The sequence below is a fragment of the Homo sapiens genome, chromosome 8 (genome assembly GCF_000001405.40).
Source record: "Homo sapiens chromosome 8, GRCh38.p14 Primary Assembly".
In the NCBI taxonomy this organism is placed as follows: Eukaryota; Metazoa; Chordata; class Mammalia; order Primates; family Hominidae; genus Homo; species Homo sapiens.
The window spans coordinates 19,397,051-19,414,250 of NC_000008.11; the positions used below are offsets into that span (position 1 = coordinate 19,397,051).

Consider the following 17,200-nt stretch of genomic DNA (forward strand, 5'->3'; position numbering starts at 1 on the left):
CAGTGAGCCGAGATCACACCACTGTACTCCAGTCTGGCTACAAAGCAAGACTACGTGCTGGGGGAAAAAAAAATCCAATACCCCCCTGTGCCTACAGTTATCTTGTAGGAAATAATTGTGGCCATATCCAGATATAACTACACAAAGCAACATCCTATTAAAGGAAGATTTAGAAAACAGGAAGTCACCCAACTGAATTCACCCAATATTACACAGGGGAGCAGATGTGGGTTCCGGACTAGTTTATCCTGTTGGTTGCTGATTGATAGAGGAATACACTGTCCAGTGTTGGATGATATGATGGCACGAATGACACTTGAAATTCTTAGGGAAGGAGAATGGTTTACAGATTTCAGAAACTGAATTCAACCGAATGGAATTCAGGAGGCCTGAATGGTCATCCGAGCAGTGCTGTGGTCTCTGTCCTGCCTACATTTACCCTGAGTTACGGTCTGAGGTGAAGATGTCCAAACTCTGACCCTGGTCTCCTCCTCCTGTTGCCTCTGCAAGCCCAGCTCCTTGACCTGCCTGCGCAAGGTTTCTGGGTCTAGGAATGCTGCTTTCATGTTACTGTCCTGGTTCTCAAGCCTAGGGGCTCTGGTCTGCAGACCCTGACTCACTGGGACTGTGGCCAAATACTCCTGCCCATCTAGATTCTTCTCTCCCACAATTCTGGAATCTCCCGCCCACAGTCATGTAAGATTTTCTGGCTGCCACCGTATTGCCAGATGCTCACAGACCTATCAGGTCACTTGCAAGGACCCTGCTTCTGGCCTCCTGCCCTACCCTGCTGCAGTAGGATGCACAAGGAAGGTCGCTTGGCCCTGAGTGTCACCAGCAGTGCTAGTCAGTCTGAAAAAGTGTTTTCTGGCTGGGCACGGTGGCTCATGCCTGTAATCCCAGCATTTTGGGAGGCCAAGGCAAGTGGATCACGAGGTCAGGAGATCGGGACCATCCTGGCCAACATGGTGAAACCCCGTCTCTACTAAAAAAAAAAAAAAAAAAAAAATACAAAAATTAGCTGGGCTTGGTGGCACATGCCTTGTAATTCCAGCTACTCAGGAGGCTGAGGCAGGAGATAGCTTGGGAGTCAGAGGTTGCAGTGAGTCGGAGGTTGCAGTGAGCCGGAGGTTGCAGTGAGCCGAGACCACTGCACTCCAGCCTGGTGACAGAGCAAAAGTCCGTCTAAAAAAAAAAAAGGTGCTTTCTGGCCCAAAGCTTACCCTAAAAATGGAGAAAACACAGGGCAAGTTAGGAAAAAAAGGATCAGAGAAAGAAAAAAGTAGATGGGCAATGGTCAGTCAGGTCACCAAAAATACCTCCGGGACATTTCCACCCAAAATTGCCTATCTGAGCTAATGCTTTGGAATTAAGCATCCTTTGCTAATATGACATGAAATCTGCTTTTAGATTAAAAAAAGAAAAATTCATGGCTTAAAGTTTTGCAACTGCCACCTTTTGTAAAGGCAGTTTTCTTAATGCACTGGAGTTCTAACATGTTTATGGCCCACACATACATATTTTGGGGCTCCTGCTATTTGGTGAGAGAAGACACAAATGCATGGGCTATGCATGGATATGTTTCCATGGGGCCTCTTTGCTTTCATATTTATCCAGAACGTGGTACATGCTTTCCTTTCAGGCTGCAATTCACAGGGTTTGTTTTGTTTTGTTTTAGAACATACGTTTTCAACGACTGTATCTTTAAATAATCTGTTTGAATTTAGCTTTTCTCTTCCTTGGGAATAGCTATAAATGTTGGATTTTTCTTTGCTTTTCATTTGGTATTCTCACCCCCATTGTTTTCATCTCTCCCTTCTTTTCTGTTGTATTTTGGGAGAGCTCTTGCATCTGTCCTTTTCCCATCAGTGATTAAATTTTCAGCAATGTTAATTCTGCACTTCACTGCCTCCAGGTGGATTTTAGTACCACTTTTACATGTCTAGCTACTTCCCATCCTACCTTCTCTCCCTATGCAAAGATCTTTAGGCTTCCCACTGCTTCCCCAGACTGACAATTGTCAGGAAGCTTAAATGATAAAAGTACCCTGTTTTAATTGTGGTAAAAACACATTATTTGATAATCAGGCTGCTCAGTATAGTAGAGAGCAGGCCCAGCAGGTTTGGGGTGCGGTCCTGGGTATACCATAACTAGCTGTGTGGAGTCGTTAAAGAAAAACAGTAACTAAGCCTGTCTGAGCTTCAATTTCATTTCTCAGACAGTCGTTACTAAAGTCACCTGGGTTCTGACGATTAGGAAAGAAATATGTTAAATATCTGGCATAGAGTAAGCGCTCCATGGGCCCAGCATGGTGGCTTATACCTGAAATCCCTGCTCCTTGGGAAGCTGACACAGGAAGACCATTTGAGCCCAGGATTTTGAGACCCGCCTGGCCCACATAGTGAGAACCCACATCTCTACAAAACATACAAAAATTAGCCAGGTGTGGTTGGCATGTGCCTGTAGTCCCAGCTACTCAGGAAGCTGAAGCCACAGGATCACGTGAGCCCAAGAGTTCGAGGCTACAGTGAGCTATGATTGTACCAATGCACTCCAGCCTGGGCGACAGAGTGAGACCCTGTCTTTAGAAAGAAAAAAAAAAGAGAGAAAAGAAAGCCAGCTCTCCATAAATAGTAATTGGGTAATTGCATTTTCCTTTTCCTAGTGAATTATGAGTCCAACAAAGCCAGGATCCTTGCACTCCAGCCTTCCCCTTTGCCAACTCAGTTTATGTGACCACTGGGCTGTTTATCCCCCACCCTTGTTTCCTAGAATTTCTGGGATCAATTTTAAGAAGGAAGGGGAAACTTCTGAAGAGTAAGGTATATAATGACGAACCACACAATACATTCATTTGCCAGTTGACCTGCAGAGAGTCGGCTCACTCTGTGCCGGGTGAGTCCCGGACGGAGGCTGCCATGGATGGCTGGCCCTCACTGAGTCCCTGGGGCGACTGTGGAGGCTGCAGAAGGGTCTTGAAGGAGCACAGCCCTACTTCTCTCCCCACAGCAATGCCTGCCCTTCCCAGCCTGTGACCTTCCCCAAGGCGGCTCTGCCCTGCCCCTCCTCCCCTATGGTTCTGTCCACCTTCTTGCTAGAATAGCAGATATGCCAGACACAGCCGAGGAGACACTCGGGGTGACTACTCCAGAGGGCATGTTCAAAGGATCAGTAATGCACAGTTTGAAAGGCACCTCTGCTGACAGGAAAGAACATATTCTGTGTGTTGGAAAAAACTACCATCAAAACCCCCCAACCAACTGGCACCATCCCCATAGTTTTTGGCAGCAACAGCAAAGCACGGAGCCCTGCCAGGAGAAACAGCTTTGAATTAAAATATAAAGCTAATCAGAATATGGATCACACAAAGCTGCCAGTCATTTGATGTGTGTGGGGAGTAAAACACCCCTGCCCTGCTAAGAAACTGCCCAAGGTCATTGTCTCTTATCAGCAATTCTCACAAACAGTTATCAAGTCTTTTTTTAAAAAAAGCAAGTATTCCCACCTGCTGTCCCCTCCTACTCAAATCATTTTTTCTTTTCTTTTTTTTTTTTTTTTTGAGATGGAGTCTCACTCTGTCACCCAGGCTGGAGTGCAGTGGCGCGATCTCAGCTCACAGCAACCTTTGCCTCCCGGGTTCAAACAATTCTCTGCCTCAGCCTCCCAAGTAGCTGGGATTACAGGCACCCACCACCAAGCCCGGCTAACTCTTTTTTATTTTCAGTAGAGACGGGGTTTCACCATCTTGGCCAGGCTGGTCTTGAACTCCTGACCTCATGATCCACCCGCCTCGGCCTCCCAAAGTGTTGGGATTACAGGCGTGAGCCACCGCGCCCGGCCATCACTCTTTCAATGTAACATGTTGGAATCCTGCATGAGAGCCAGATTCCAGGGCTTTGATCCCATATGGAGTCCTAACACTGCCGGTCATTGCACAGTGGCTGGAGTGGGGTGGCCAGATGCCTTAGCTGTTCCTCCATCCCTGTGTTAGCAAGCTTTCTTTCCTTGTTACGTGATTTCTCAGGTGGGACTAGAGAGCAGAGAAATGGTGAGAAACGAGAATCAAAAACAACAGGCTGGCGACTTACCCTAGGCCAAAGCTAGTTCCCGCAGACCTTCCAATCCATCTGGAGCTGGCCATGTGACGGGTCATGGTCAGGGACAATGACGGTCCTATCAGCCCTGAAGCTGGCTATTTGCTAGCTGGATCTCTGGGCAAACTCTTCAACATTTCTGATCCTCATTCTCTGCACCTGGAAAATCCAAGTAATGATATTATCTAGCTTAGAAGTTTGAAGTAATGAACATAAGGTTCCTAGCTATGCTCCTGACTTAAAAAACCTGTAAAGTCTCCCAGCTCCCTAGGAGGGTATCAACTCCATATTACTGAGCGTGGATTGTAAGGTAGAAATTACCCATTAAATTTCACACTCCTAGTAACCCTTCTCCTTCAGATAGATTAAGTTTTGAGAATGACAAAAAGAACAACAGTGTACATGACGGCTTCATCATCTTTACTGTATTGCCTATAATAGCCATCTGATTATATCCAAGCAGCACTGGGCATACCGAGAAGCTTAACAGACACTGCCAGATACACATTTGTACATGTGGAATTGTGTGCTGAATACTAACAACACCTACCGTGTGCCTGATGTTTCCTAAGTGCTTCATACATATGAACCCATTTAATCTTTAAAACAACTGCATGATATACAAGGATTGAATCCATCACCCTGAATGAGGACATCAAGGTATGAAGACATCTAGCAACTCCTTTAAGATCCTGTAAATTGCAAATAAAATAACTGGAATCTGAACCCAGGTTGTCTGGCTGGAAAAACCATGATATCAACTACTCTACTGCGCTGAACCCCTATTACGTAAAATTAGATAAGACGATTTTTCCTGAAACAAAAACATTACTAAAATTAGATTCCGGGTAGCTATTTTCCTAGGCCTGATCTTCATCAGTGATGTGGAAAGGGGCAGTCAACCACATTTATAAATACAAAGAGGGGCTAGGAAGTAGATCACTGCAGAGAAAACAGCCCAGGTAGCCCAGGTATGTCACTTAGAGGCAATGATATGTGGATATAATTTAACAATGGGCCAGGCCTAGGGGCCCAGAGGTGGTAAGGATGGCTGATTGGCAGCATTTGCCAATTGCCAGTTTCCATGGTGTAAATACTTCCACCGTGATGGATTTCAAGCTACCACCCTGTCAACACGGAGTGAGGACTGGAAAGAAGTGCTGAAAACTGGCTCCCACGAGGCTGTACCAGTACACCACCGCCTGGAGGAGACCTCCACTGTATTAGAAAGCCCAGCTCAGTAAGATAACCTGTGCTGGTCACTGGACAATTTAGGGATAGGAACAGAGAGAGCATGCAGAGTTGGAAGGGGCCTTAGGCAAGCCCAAGACTCACTGTTTTCTCAGCAGCATCCTTGAGAATGTGCGACGTGACTGGGTTCTTGAAACCACTGTTCCGATACTGCTTTCCTTTGCTAAGTTTAAATTCCAGCCTCCTAATTCTAATGTTTTCGTGGGACCTTCTACAATCCTTCTTTTCTGTATGTCTTGGGCAGGCAAAGGGGGGTATTCTCCACTAGCATGTTGCTAAAGAGGGCCTCTACCCTTTAATGAAACTGTTTTACCTGAATAAGCTTTGAAAAAGAAATACCGTAGTTGAATATTATGCTGTCCCATCTCCTCATCAGCTACTCTCCACAACTTTAAAAAACCCAATTCTTAATTCTTAACTACACAGCCATAAAAAAGAAAAAAATAATGTCTTTTGCAGCAACATGGATGGAACAGGAGACTATTCTCCTAAACGAATCAACACAAGAACAGAAAACCAAACACTGCATGTTCTTACTTACAAGTGGGAGCTAAATGCTAAGAACCCATGAACACAAAGAAGGGAACAAAAGACACCGGGGCCTACTTGAGGGTGGACTGTGGGAGGAGGGTGAGGACTGAAAAATACGTGCTGCAGTTATTACCTGGGTGACCGAAGAATCTGCACACCAGACCCCCGCAACACGCATTTTACCCATGTGACAAATCAGCACAGGAACCTCCTAAAAAGTTGGAAAGGAAAAAAATTCTTCACCACTGTCTTGGGCATCTGTGATATGAAATGTAAACAAGCACAAAAATGGCTGATGAGCCCACAGAGTGCAGCCCGGATGGGACCACCTGTGAGACTCTCAGACCTGTCCAGTTCCACAGTCAGAATATTGGATTGCCACTGCCAGCCTCATTAGACACCCATCCTTCTTACGCTGGGAGGATATGGACAAGAGCATGCAGGGCACTCACCACAAATCCATCAGAACCATGCCAGAGACAGGCCAAACACATGCCCTGAAGTTACTAGTATCATCAGAGCACAGAAAAAAGTATATATATTTGAGACCAGGTCTCACTCTGTTACCCAGGCTGGAGTGCAGTGGTGCAATCAGGGCTCACCACTGCAGCCTTGACCTCCTGGACTCAAGTGATCCTCCCACCTCAGCCTCCTGAGTATATGGGACTACAGGTGTGTACCACCACACCTAATTATGTATTTTTTTGTAGAGACAGGGTCTCACTATGTTGCCCAGGCTGGTCTCAAACTCCCAGGCTCAAGCGATCCTCCCACTTTGACCTCCCAAGGTGCTGGGATTACAGGCATTAACCACAGTGCCCAGCCACACGTGACAATATTAAGCACAGAGTTGAAAGGGGCCTTGGAAATCATTTCTCAATTTCCTCTAATGAAAACAGACAAGTTAATGTATTAATAATTCAGGTTTTTCATTATGGTTCTCTTCTCCCTCTAGCCCCGTGGTTCTTAACCAGGGGTGATTTCCCCTCAGAGGACATTTGAGCATGACTGGAGACAATCTGATTGTCAAAACTGGGTGGGAGATGCTCCTGGCCTCTAGTGGGTATAGGCTCGGGATGTGGTTAAACATCCCACAGTATAGAAGACAGCCCTCCACAGCAAAGAGTTATCTAGTCTAACGTGTCAGTAGTGCCAAGGCTGAGAAACCATGGTCCATGCACAATATACTATTTCCAAAAACTAAACAAAATGACATTCTTACTCCACAAAGCAGTCATATCCACAAATCATATTTTATTAGCTGTGCAATACCACCTTCCATTCATGGCCTGTGTTTTAATTAAATTTCATAAACTACCAGTACAAATCAATACAATGCATTTTTTAACACACCAACAGCTTGAATGTTCTTGAAGCTTTTAAACAATGAGTTTACTGTGAGCAAACAGAAGCAAGGACTCAAAGAGATAATTAGCTCATGCATCTGGTGCTGGCTAATAATTTTCACATGAATGAAGAAACCACTCTATGTTAACTGTATTTATTTTTAAAAAATAGTTTGAAATGGTAATAAAATGCAATTTTCAGAAGCATCTTGGTGATCGAGTAGAACTGCTTAATTTAAAAAATAATTCAGTTACTTCCACCTGGCCTGGGGTGGATAACATGTAGCAAAAACTTCCATCCCACTAGATTCTGGCAGATGGATTGATCTTTCACAATATATATATATATATTTTTTTCTCCATTTCTTCTTATGGAAGCCAGAAGCCAGGAGGAGCACCCTGTTTTGAAAAGAGATTGTTTGGTTCACACGGTATACTTTGGTTTATTTAAACAGGTAAGAAAGCGGTCCCTACTTCTGAGGAGAAAATGTGGTTTCTGACTTTTAGGTACATCACGATATCACCAGTCTGAATGAGTTTCCTTTTCTGTAAAGCAGAAAGTGTCATTTTCTTTTCCTCCAGTGTTCAGTTGCTCCTCTTCGAAAATACTCTTCAGAGAAAGTATCTGTACGTCTGTATTAGTACAAACCATTCCTTCCCTATGTCTCAATGCCTGACATTCAGTGCCTGACAGAATCAGCATTTGGCATGTCCTTGGATATGGCATCAATTTGATGCTTTGAACTGAAAGTTCTCATAATGCATCTCAAAGTATCTTCTTAAAAAATATAAAAATGTAGGCCAACTTGTGCTCTCTTGTAAGGCTTGCAAAGTGGTAATTAAATAAGCAGACTATAACTCACAAGGGAAAAAAAGTGCATTTTTAAATAAAAGAAAAAAACGGAGACAGTTAAAAGGACAACCAAAAAGATAAGCAGATTATTTTTGGTTAATCTTGGGGAAAATATGACACGATATTTATGGTTTCTTTTCTTTTCTGGTCCATTTTATTTTACTTAATGTACTCACTAGTATCATAATAAGCCTATCTCCTCTCCTGCCTTCTGATATTTTAGCATTCCTAGAAACTAGAGCCCTGCTGATAGGCTCATTCATATGAGGAGAAATATGCTTGCCTTTCATGCTAATGAATTTTTTACAAAACTGCTCTTAAATCATGAATATTTCAATGAGCACACAAAACAACAGGTCTCAGTGTGTTGTAAACACCATCAAAACCTCCACACCATTAGGCTTATAATCTCACAAGCATTCTGCCTTTGTCAGACACTTCACAGGGTGCAACTGGGTTACTTTTGCAGGCAAAGCGGAGATTTTGATTTCTGTTGTAAAAAGCCCAACAGAGAGAAATCGGAGGCTTTCTCATCTCTGACCCATCAGTCCAATTCTTTTGTCGTCCTTTATGGAAGTCTTTTCTCTGTTGCAGCCACTTTCAGTAATTGCAAAAGGAAAGAAAAAGTGTCTCCCACAATCCTTCTCTGGGAGTTCATGTTTTTTTGCTACTTGTCTTCTGTTTCTGTTTGCGAAGGTGAGCCTCTATCTCGTGCCTGAACACCAGCATGCCCAGCTGGCCGTGGGATGCCTCGTTCATGGCCTTGGACTGCATGCACATCTTGTACTGCTCGGGGGTCAGCTCGTCCATGCAGCGCTTCTCATGCCAGAGGTGGAAGAGTCCTCGCACAGGCGTCCGTACCACTATGAGGTTGCTGTGGAGATACTTGCGATAAAGGTGCACATCCTCTCCGCCCCAGCCTTTGATGTCCAGATCAAACCCACCTGTCGGGACAGAACACACTGTTGAATCACACTGCACTGATCTGTTTTGCTTCCCTGAGTTGCAACAAGCACAAACTTTTCATTAAGACATGACTGGGGGGGATGCGTGCTTCACCACCACCCCTCCAAGGTACGAGAGTGTCCACCTGGGTCAGAAGCCCCGAGAATTCCCCAACAAAGACGACTTTTATGGCAGACAGCACCGACTTCTTCAGATGACAGGACCTCCAAGAAAATTCCAAGCATTTGCCTGCATTCAAGAGTTATCAGCAATGCTAATGAACAGCCCCAGCCTCGTGGTTAATGGGTACAAAAATAAGATCTAGTATTCGGTAGCATTATTACTGACAGACTTATTGTGATTATGAATTAGCTATTGTTAACAATTTATTGTATATTTAAAAATAGCTAGAAGACTGATAAATATGATAAATAATTGAAATGATGGATACCTCCCATGACCCTGATGTGATGATTACACATTGTATGCCTGTATCAAAACATCACATGTACCCCATAAACATGCGCATAATAATTAAAAATAGAGGTTTCGTAAAAAAAAAAAAAAAAAAAAAAAAAAAGAGCTTCTACACCATCCCCACTTTTCAGCTTGAAACCTCTGAATGCAGATTCTTGTGCTTCTGTGAGGAGGTGGCCTTCTCCTGCCACTGCAAACAGAGAAGAAACGAGGGGCTTGCAGTGCCTCTCGGCTCACTGCAATCTCCACCTACTGGGTTCAAGTGATTCTCCTGCCTCAGCCTCCCAAGTAGCTAGGACAACAGGCACATGTCACCATGCCTGGGTAACTTTTGTGTTTTTAGTAGAGACGGGGTTTCACCGTTTTGGCCAGACTGGTCTTGAACTCCTGGCCTCAAGTGATCTGCCCACCTTGGCCTCCCAGAGTGCTGGGAATACAGGCATGAGCCACCACGCTCGGCCTAGAAAATTTTTAAATGTCCTTTTTGGGAAGCTGATTTGCACATAACCATTTAGGAATATTTCTCTCAGAGATGTCCAAGAACACCTGCTGTTAGTTGTTGAGTGTCTGCAGGGCACCCACCACTCAGAGACCTGCATCCTGGGTGCTCTGCTCCTTCCAACAGGACTTGACTTCAACATTTTTTTTTTAAATCTTTAACCTGGTGATTTCCTTGGGGGGTTCTGTAGTCCTTGTAGTTCATGTCATCTCTGAACAAAACAATCGTGGGTCTACCCCTCGTCCCTGATTTTAAAGTGAGTAGCTTTAGGTCTTGGACCTGAGGGGGAGGTGCCTAGAAGCCAGCGAGACCAGCAGCTCGTGGGGAGCCTGGGGATGGGACGCTCCATGCCACACCCTGAGGGCACGGTCCCCCTGACTCCATCGCAGCTGAGCCCCTGCACCTGAGATCAACGTTTCGGGACTGTTCATTCATACCCAGGTCGTGCATAATCTGCAACTCTATCTCTTTCGAGATCCAAGAGTCAGTATTGCTATGGGAAGGTGGGGTGGCATTTCCAAGGGGGACAGGAGGCCTCTATTCTCATCCTGACTCTGCCTCTTACCTGCTGTGAGGCCTGGGAGGATCTCTTTCCCTTTGACATGCTTGGTCTCCTCACCTAGATCCCAAGGGCCTTTTCTCTCTGTGCTCTAGAAAACCACAGGCGTGCGCATGTGCATATTTGTGTATGAATTGTGTGTGCATGTGGACATTTGTGTATATGAATTGTGTGCACATGTGGACATTTGTGTATATGAATTGTGTGCGCATGTGGACATTTGTGTATATGAATTGTGTGCGCATGTGGGCATTTGTGTATATGAATTGTGTGTGCATGTGGACATTTGTGTATATGAATTGTGTGTGTGTGTGTGTGTGTGTGTGTGTGTGTGTGTGTGTGTGTATTGGCAGCAACTGCACATTTAGTCAGAGCTTAAAGTGACATTTGGAATTTTGAAGGTTAGCAGAGAGAAATGTGGGTCTTTTTGAATATGTGCTTCCTCCCAGTTCCCCTATTTCCCTCATACCCTTACTGGGAGGCTTAGGATGTTCTACAGGAGAGGGCAGAGCAGCCAGGACCCCGCTGGGAGGAGGCACTGGAAGACTTGCTGCAAAGCTGCCTGGATGCAATAAGCAGCCTTTAATCTCAGATTGTGTGTCTTATTTGGAATGACTGAGAGGTGCTGGTGGAGATCATAGGGGCTAAAATGCCACCTACTACCAGGCCCCCTCTTGGTCCAGCCCTGAGTCTATGACATCAGGAACAGCATTTGATTTTCTTTTTGGAGTGATTCTCTTTAGGAGAATCGCTATGTTGTCCAAGTTGGTCTTGAACTCCTGGCCTCAAGTGATCCCCCCTCCTCTAACCTCCCAAAGCACTGGGATTACAGGTGTGAGCCACCGCACCTAGTCTGGAATAGCTTTTTTTTTTTTTTTTTTTTTTTTTTTTTGAAGGCAATGGTACCACCTTCCCAACCAGACTCCTTGGAAACCCTACTTGATTCCTTCAAGGCCTACATGGGCCCGTGGCCTCTGGGTGGCAGTAGAGATGCAGATTTGTCCTACCTATATTGATGAAGTCTGACCGATACTGACACGTCATCCCAAATCCAAAGTCTCTCCAAAATCCAGTTTCCTTCTTTATGACCTGCAAGAAAAGCACTGTCATTTGAGGGGAAAGTTTAGGGTGGACAAAAATAGAGTGTTCACAAACTCCTGTGAGCCACCGTGGAGTGTGGAGCCCATCCCATCACTGATAAACAGCCTCCACTGGTGCAGGAAACGCAGATGGATTTGAGTCCTTGCAGACAGTCAGGAATACAGTACACACACCAGTCCCAAAACAAGGTCTTGTGATTTTTGGCACCTCTGGCTGGAATGTTTCTAGGGCATAGATATGAAAACACACACACACACACACACACACACACAATCAAAAACAAAAACCGGGAGAGCCAGTCTTTGAGCAGTGCCGTGGAAAAGCCACCTACGTGCCTGGCCCCACACCAGTGCCAGCGAGAATCGGAGGCTTGGGCCCCTTACACAAGCCTGGGCAGCGAGCCAGCAAAGGGCTCAGGAAGTTGAGAAAAGGGATAGAGAACAACTCAGAATTCAGCTGCCCTGGCACGGTCCACTCACAGGACTCCCTTGGGGAATAAAAAGAAATATCTGAGAGACTTCAGTATGTTACCAGCTCTCCAACTCTGTTAACTCTCGCTTGCTGAGGAAAAGGGCACTAGAAGTCCAGCTTCTGAAGAAAGACTCTGTCCATTCATCTTCACGCTATTTTAAAACCAAACTGCTCCCAAAAGCATCTACCGTGGTGCCAGCCTGCAGGGCTGCGGAGAGGCCATCCAGACACTGCCCAGTCTCTTACTCTGCAAGTAAATTTCCAATATATTTGCTGAAACAGCAAGGCTTTTCAAAACTGCATGTGTACATATATATATATATAGAGAGAGAGAGAGAGAGAGAAACACACACACAAACACATATACACAAACACGTATTCAGCTGAGAGAACTCTGGGAACAGTTTTGAGATCTTAGTTATTTTTCATAATTCATTCTTGCAGTTAACATAGGTGCTTAGGTGAAAGGACACCCCCACATCCTGTCCTCTGGGGAAAGGTAGAGAGGGCAGCAGCAGGTTCCTCTTTCCCCACTTGGATTTGTATAGATTTTGTTGGGGACATCTGGTTCTGTTCATCGTTAATTAGAAACGGTACATGAGAGGGGAGAAGCATCAGAGTCTTGGCCCAATGTGACCACTGGCTGGCTTTTTCACTTCAGGCAGCCTCCTTCACTTCTTCATGCATCTATTTTTTTTTCCTTATAAAACAAGGGGGTTAAATTCACTCATCCCTTAGGTGTCTTTCAGCTTTCACATCCAAGTGTTTATCACATCTTCCCCCTTCCTGAAGTTTCACCACAGGCTAATTATATTTGATAAATGGCTTGCAGAAGGGCTGATGAATCTTAAATGTTCTTTAACTCTGTAACATATGAAACTGTCTTACTTTCACTACAATCTACAGGTAGATGTCACTTCCACCATGTCACTTACATTCCACAGGGAATGGGGACCTGCTGCCACCCTCTCCTGCAAGCATCAGGACTGCTCAAGGAAAGTAGAACCAAGAGAGTTTCTGTTGCTTAAAGTTGTCCCCAGCAAGTATTCTCAAGTTCTACTTCAGAGTACGGGACCGTTATACAGTATCTCCCAAATGACAAGTCAATTTCATTAGTATCAACTGGAAAGATTTTGTAAGGCGGCAAAGTCTGGAAAAGTCTCCACGGAGTCATTTTTTAAAATATGGACTTTGTTCCATCCCCGCCTTACCAGGTACATGGTTTCCATTGCAGCGAATAGACTAATATTCCTTCTGCTGGCAACCTAGACAAGTTCCCTAAGCTTATGGGTAAAAATGGAGTCAAAGAGAAGTGCCAGTATCCAATCTTCAAATATTTCGCTGAGGATCACATGGAATTTAAAAAGGAACGCTCCGAACAGGAAAAACAATTGGCCAAGCCTTGGGAAGGAAGACAAGAGGGAGGCATCCAGAGACTCTGGGCTGCACTGATGTAGGGCCTTTCGAGGTTGAACAAGGTGAAGGGGGACCCTCACATGGGAACAGCGTGATGGAGGCAGTCTGGCTTATGAGCTGGGGAGTGAGTTGTGTAAACATTTATTAAAGTCAGTTTGGAAGTTGGCAAGCCACAAAAAGCCACTATCTGAAGAGCTTGTTGAAATTTAGCCCTTTGTGGAAACTCATCTGGTCATGCCCACAGCATGTAATTTCAGGGCAAGACGGAGTTCCCTCAGTCGAGGTTCCACCACCCACAGCTGTGCTGGGTCGCTAACTGGAAGGACGCGCTCAATAGCAGTCTGGCGGGAGTGTGTGCCCTCAAGCACACATCCGATTATATCACGTTCCCATGTGAAGCCCTGCAAGGGTTCCCTAATCGTCAGCCATCTCATTTCTTCTTATCCTTCTGCCCTATATAAGGCCCATTTTCTCCCTCTTGGATTCTCCATGCTCACAGGTCTCCAAGGCCAGATACTTGCAGTCCTTCCTGCCTGGGTCACCCTTTCCCCACACACCACTAAGCTGTGCTCCAATGTCACTATTCAGAGTGGTCGTCCTGACCCTCCTGGCCCATGTTATGCACCTGCCACCCTAATGCCACTTGCTGCACTGGACCCCTGGTTTATTTTCTCTGTAACAATTCTGGCTTCTGAAATGATCCCGTTGATGCATCTGCTTCTCTGTTTGCTGACTGTCTTCAGTCACTAGCCCTGGTGAATGTAAGCTCAGGGCTTGTTCTTGTTCACGACTACATCTCCAGCACCCAGAACATTGTCCAGCACACAGCAGGTACTCAGTAAATACTTCCTCAATGAATGAACCAAGAGCCGTCCCTAGGGCAGAGATGGTTCCAAGCCAGTGGAAACAGACACGTTGCAAGATGTTCGCCAGCAAGTGGCCCAGCAAAGGCCTGGGAAATGCAGTGGTGAGAACCTCTCAGAATCCTGTGGCTCTGGACCAAGAGACAAAAATGTTTTCACCTCCCTGGGGTCTAAGGTGGAGTGTGTGACTTCTTAGAAACTTTGCTGCAAGTGTGAGAAGCTCCACCATTCTGTTCAAGCACTGACAAGTGATGCACCAATGATGTCTGCTACAATAGAGGAGGAAGGAACCCTAAGATAAAGAGGAGACTTTAAAAGAAAAACATCTATTCCTCCTGTTCTGGATTTCACTGATCTGTTTCCAAGCACTATCCTCCTTTTTTTTTTTTTTTTTGACGGAGTCTTGCTGTGTTGCCCAGGCTGGAGTGCAGTGGTGTGACCTCGGCTCACTGCAACCTCCGCCTCCTGGGTTCAAGCAATTCTCGTGCCTCAGCCTCCCGAGTAGCTGGGATTACAGGCACGTACCACCATGCCCGGCTACATTTTTTATATTTTTAGTAAAGAAGGGGTTTTGCCATGTTGGCCAGGCTGGTCTCGAACTCCTGACCTCAGGTGATCCACCTGCCTCAGCCTCCTAAAGTGCTGGGATCACAGGCATGGGCCACCGCACCCAGCCTGCTATCCTCATTTTCTAAAATGTCCTCTGATAGCTGGCCTCCTCTCAACTCTCTCTGCAGCACCCACTTCCTCCCCACCTGAGATCCCAGCAGAGCACTGCAGGGCATGAATGTACCACAAAAGGACAGTTGTCAGCCCTGCTCTCTCACAGGAAGTTTCCAGAGCCACAGCTCTGTGGACGATTCACGTGACAGGGATGATTATTTTCTATTAGGACCAAAACACAAAGCACAAATCAGCATCTCTCCCCAAAGATGTGGGAAGGCAGCCGCCCTGCAGCTGCATGTGAGCTGGGGCCGTGGTCAGTGCCTGTCTGGTTTAATGGTGCCGACTTGGCCACTTGCCCATGAAGCAATCTGGACCCTAAAATAAAATAAATAGCAACTACTCAGGCAGAGCGCCTCCTTTCAATCAGAGTCTCTCCTCAGCACTGAGGCTGCGTCTGGTCTACCTTGCATTCACAGCAACGCCCGTTAGCAGGGCCGGCTTACAAAGTGACCCATGTAGCTGCACAGGGCCCCCATACATGGAAGGCCCCAAGGCCTGCTGTCACTGTTGTGAAATTTGTAATACCTTTTGATCAGGGGCTCACATTTTCATCTTGTATTGGGTCATGTCAATTACATAGCAGTTTCTGGCCTGGGAGGAGAAGACTCCCTGAGCTATGAGGACGTCTGTGTCCAGGCTGGGGGCCCCCAGCCCAGGCTGTCCATTCCTTACTATCTGGGCCCTGAGGGCTCAGTGATCATGCTGCACAGGGTGCCAGGAGGGCTGCATGCCCTCTTCTTGTGGCTTCTTAGTATGAAGACAGAATGACTTGCCCAAGATCACCCAGCCAATGTTGCCAAGCCCAAAACAATTCTAAGACTCCGGGGACAGTTCCACATCTTGAGAAATAAGGTATCCTACATCCACAGCTTTAGAAGACTCATTTAAGAACACAGTCAAAGGCCATCTCCTTCCAGATGTATTTGCACTTATTCACAATTTCCTGTAAGTCTTTTCTAGGTGTTTTCATAGAAAACACATTGTGTCTTCAAGGGAATCATGCTGGACAAGGAGTCATCCAGGTTCTGCCATTTCCAGGAACCTATCATCTAAAACTAAATGCCCTCGTTGCCCCCATGAAGCGCTTTGAGGGCAAAGGATGTATCCCCTGTTGCCCAGCATCCTCAGCCCAGGTGCGGTCACATAGTGTGGCACTCGAGTTCTCACCCCTGCCACTTAGCCGCTACAGGCATCTGGCCCTCAATTCCTCATCTGTGAAATGAGAATAATAGCACCTCTTCCCCTTATTGAGTATTACGTGAGATAACGTGGGCACCGGACTGGCTTCTGGAAAGGCTCCATAAAGGGCCTCTGTTCACATTAATTTTGGTATTCAGCGGGTGTATGTTTCCTGAATAAATAGAAACAGAATGCAAGGATGCATAGGATGTGCCATGCTCATTTGGCAATTTACAAAAAGGTTTCAACTGAACTGCAATAGTAAAATACTTTCTGAAGGGAGGTAGAGAGGTCAAGGGTGTGACCAGAGAGAGGGCAAGGACAGAAGCCAGCATGCTATGCACACACTGAACAGTATCACAAAGTCATCAGATTTAACTGACGGGTAAGACCACATGGCAGACTAAGATGTGCATGTCGGATGCCGTGGGCATTAGAAATGATAAGGAGGTGGCCTTGAGGAGCAGAGACAGCCAGGGAGACTGAGCAGGTGTGCTCACCTGGCAACAAGGCTGGCTTGGGTGACTATGGAGCTGGTACCATGTGCCAGGTTCTGGGGTTTACAGATATTTTCTCTGCATCCATTTGAGAGTTGGTCTGTGGAAGACAATGAATCCCAACAAGGGCTCAGGGCTTGCAGTGCTGTGCTGGAGCCAGCTTGCACCAGCTCACAAGGATTGGACAAATCTCTTCCCAACCTTGTGTTCAGTGACGTCATGCTGGTAGCCTGAAATAGGCCACGGTGGGAGTATTTACACCATGGAAATTGGCAAATGCTATAAATCAGGTCTTTCTCCTGCACCCCCTCTTCAGAGAGCAGGTTGTTAAATATTTACCAGCACATCTCTGGCTCTGTGCCCAAAGATTGCTTAAAAAACTGAATGAATCT

The 17,200-nt window shown here is 45.8% G+C and overlaps 1 protein-coding gene across 61 annotated transcripts in view, besides 3 other annotated features; it reads right to left on the reverse strand.

Moving 5' to 3' along the window:
• Positions 1-7,110: 7,110 nt before the first annotated feature.
• CSGALNACT1 (chondroitin sulfate N-acetylgalactosaminyltransferase 1) overlaps positions 7,111-17,200 on the reverse strand; it is a 353,748-nt gene continuing 343,658 nt past the window's right edge. For 58 of the 61 annotated variants that reach the window (NR_148898.2, NR_148897.2, NR_148899.2 and 55 more), the window contains 2 exons: positions 11,563-11,644; positions 7,111-9,019 (listed from right to left, as the gene is read on the reverse strand). Coding sequence is in view for 53 of the 61 variants with exons in the window: in NM_001354476.2 (NP_001341405.1) it covers positions 8,730-9,019; positions 11,563-11,644 (372 nt within the window). In the remaining 8 variants the exon portion in view is untranslated. Of the gene's footprint in view, positions 9,020-11,557; positions 11,645-12,187; positions 12,375-17,200 lie in introns of those variants that run through there. The other 3 variants (NR_148900.2, NR_148902.2, XR_007060745.1) reach the window with 2 other exon arrangements.
• Positions 8,411-8,911: an enhancer, noted in NCBI's record as "H3K4me1 hESC enhancer chr8:19262972-19263472 (GRCh37/hg19 assembly coordinates)". NCBI's record gives its function as "activates a minimal SCP1, AML or CMV promoter by ChIP-STARR-seq in naive H9 embryonic stem cells {active_cell/tissue: H9 hESC(naive)}" and the evidence as "EXISTENCE:reporter gene assay evidence [ECO:0000049][PMID:30033119]".
• Positions 8,912-9,412: an enhancer, noted in NCBI's record as "H3K4me1 hESC enhancer chr8:19263473-19263973 (GRCh37/hg19 assembly coordinates)". NCBI's record gives its function as "activates a minimal SCP1, AML or CMV promoter by ChIP-STARR-seq in naive H9 embryonic stem cells {active_cell/tissue: H9 hESC(naive)}" and the evidence as "EXISTENCE:reporter gene assay evidence [ECO:0000049][PMID:30033119]".
• Positions 11,439-11,498: an enhancer, noted in NCBI's record as "active region_27057". NCBI's record gives its function as "activates an Ori minimal core promoter by ATAC-STARR-seq in GM12878 lymphoblastoid cells {active_cell/tissue: GM12878}" and the evidence as "EXISTENCE:reporter gene assay evidence [ECO:0000049][PMID:35858748]".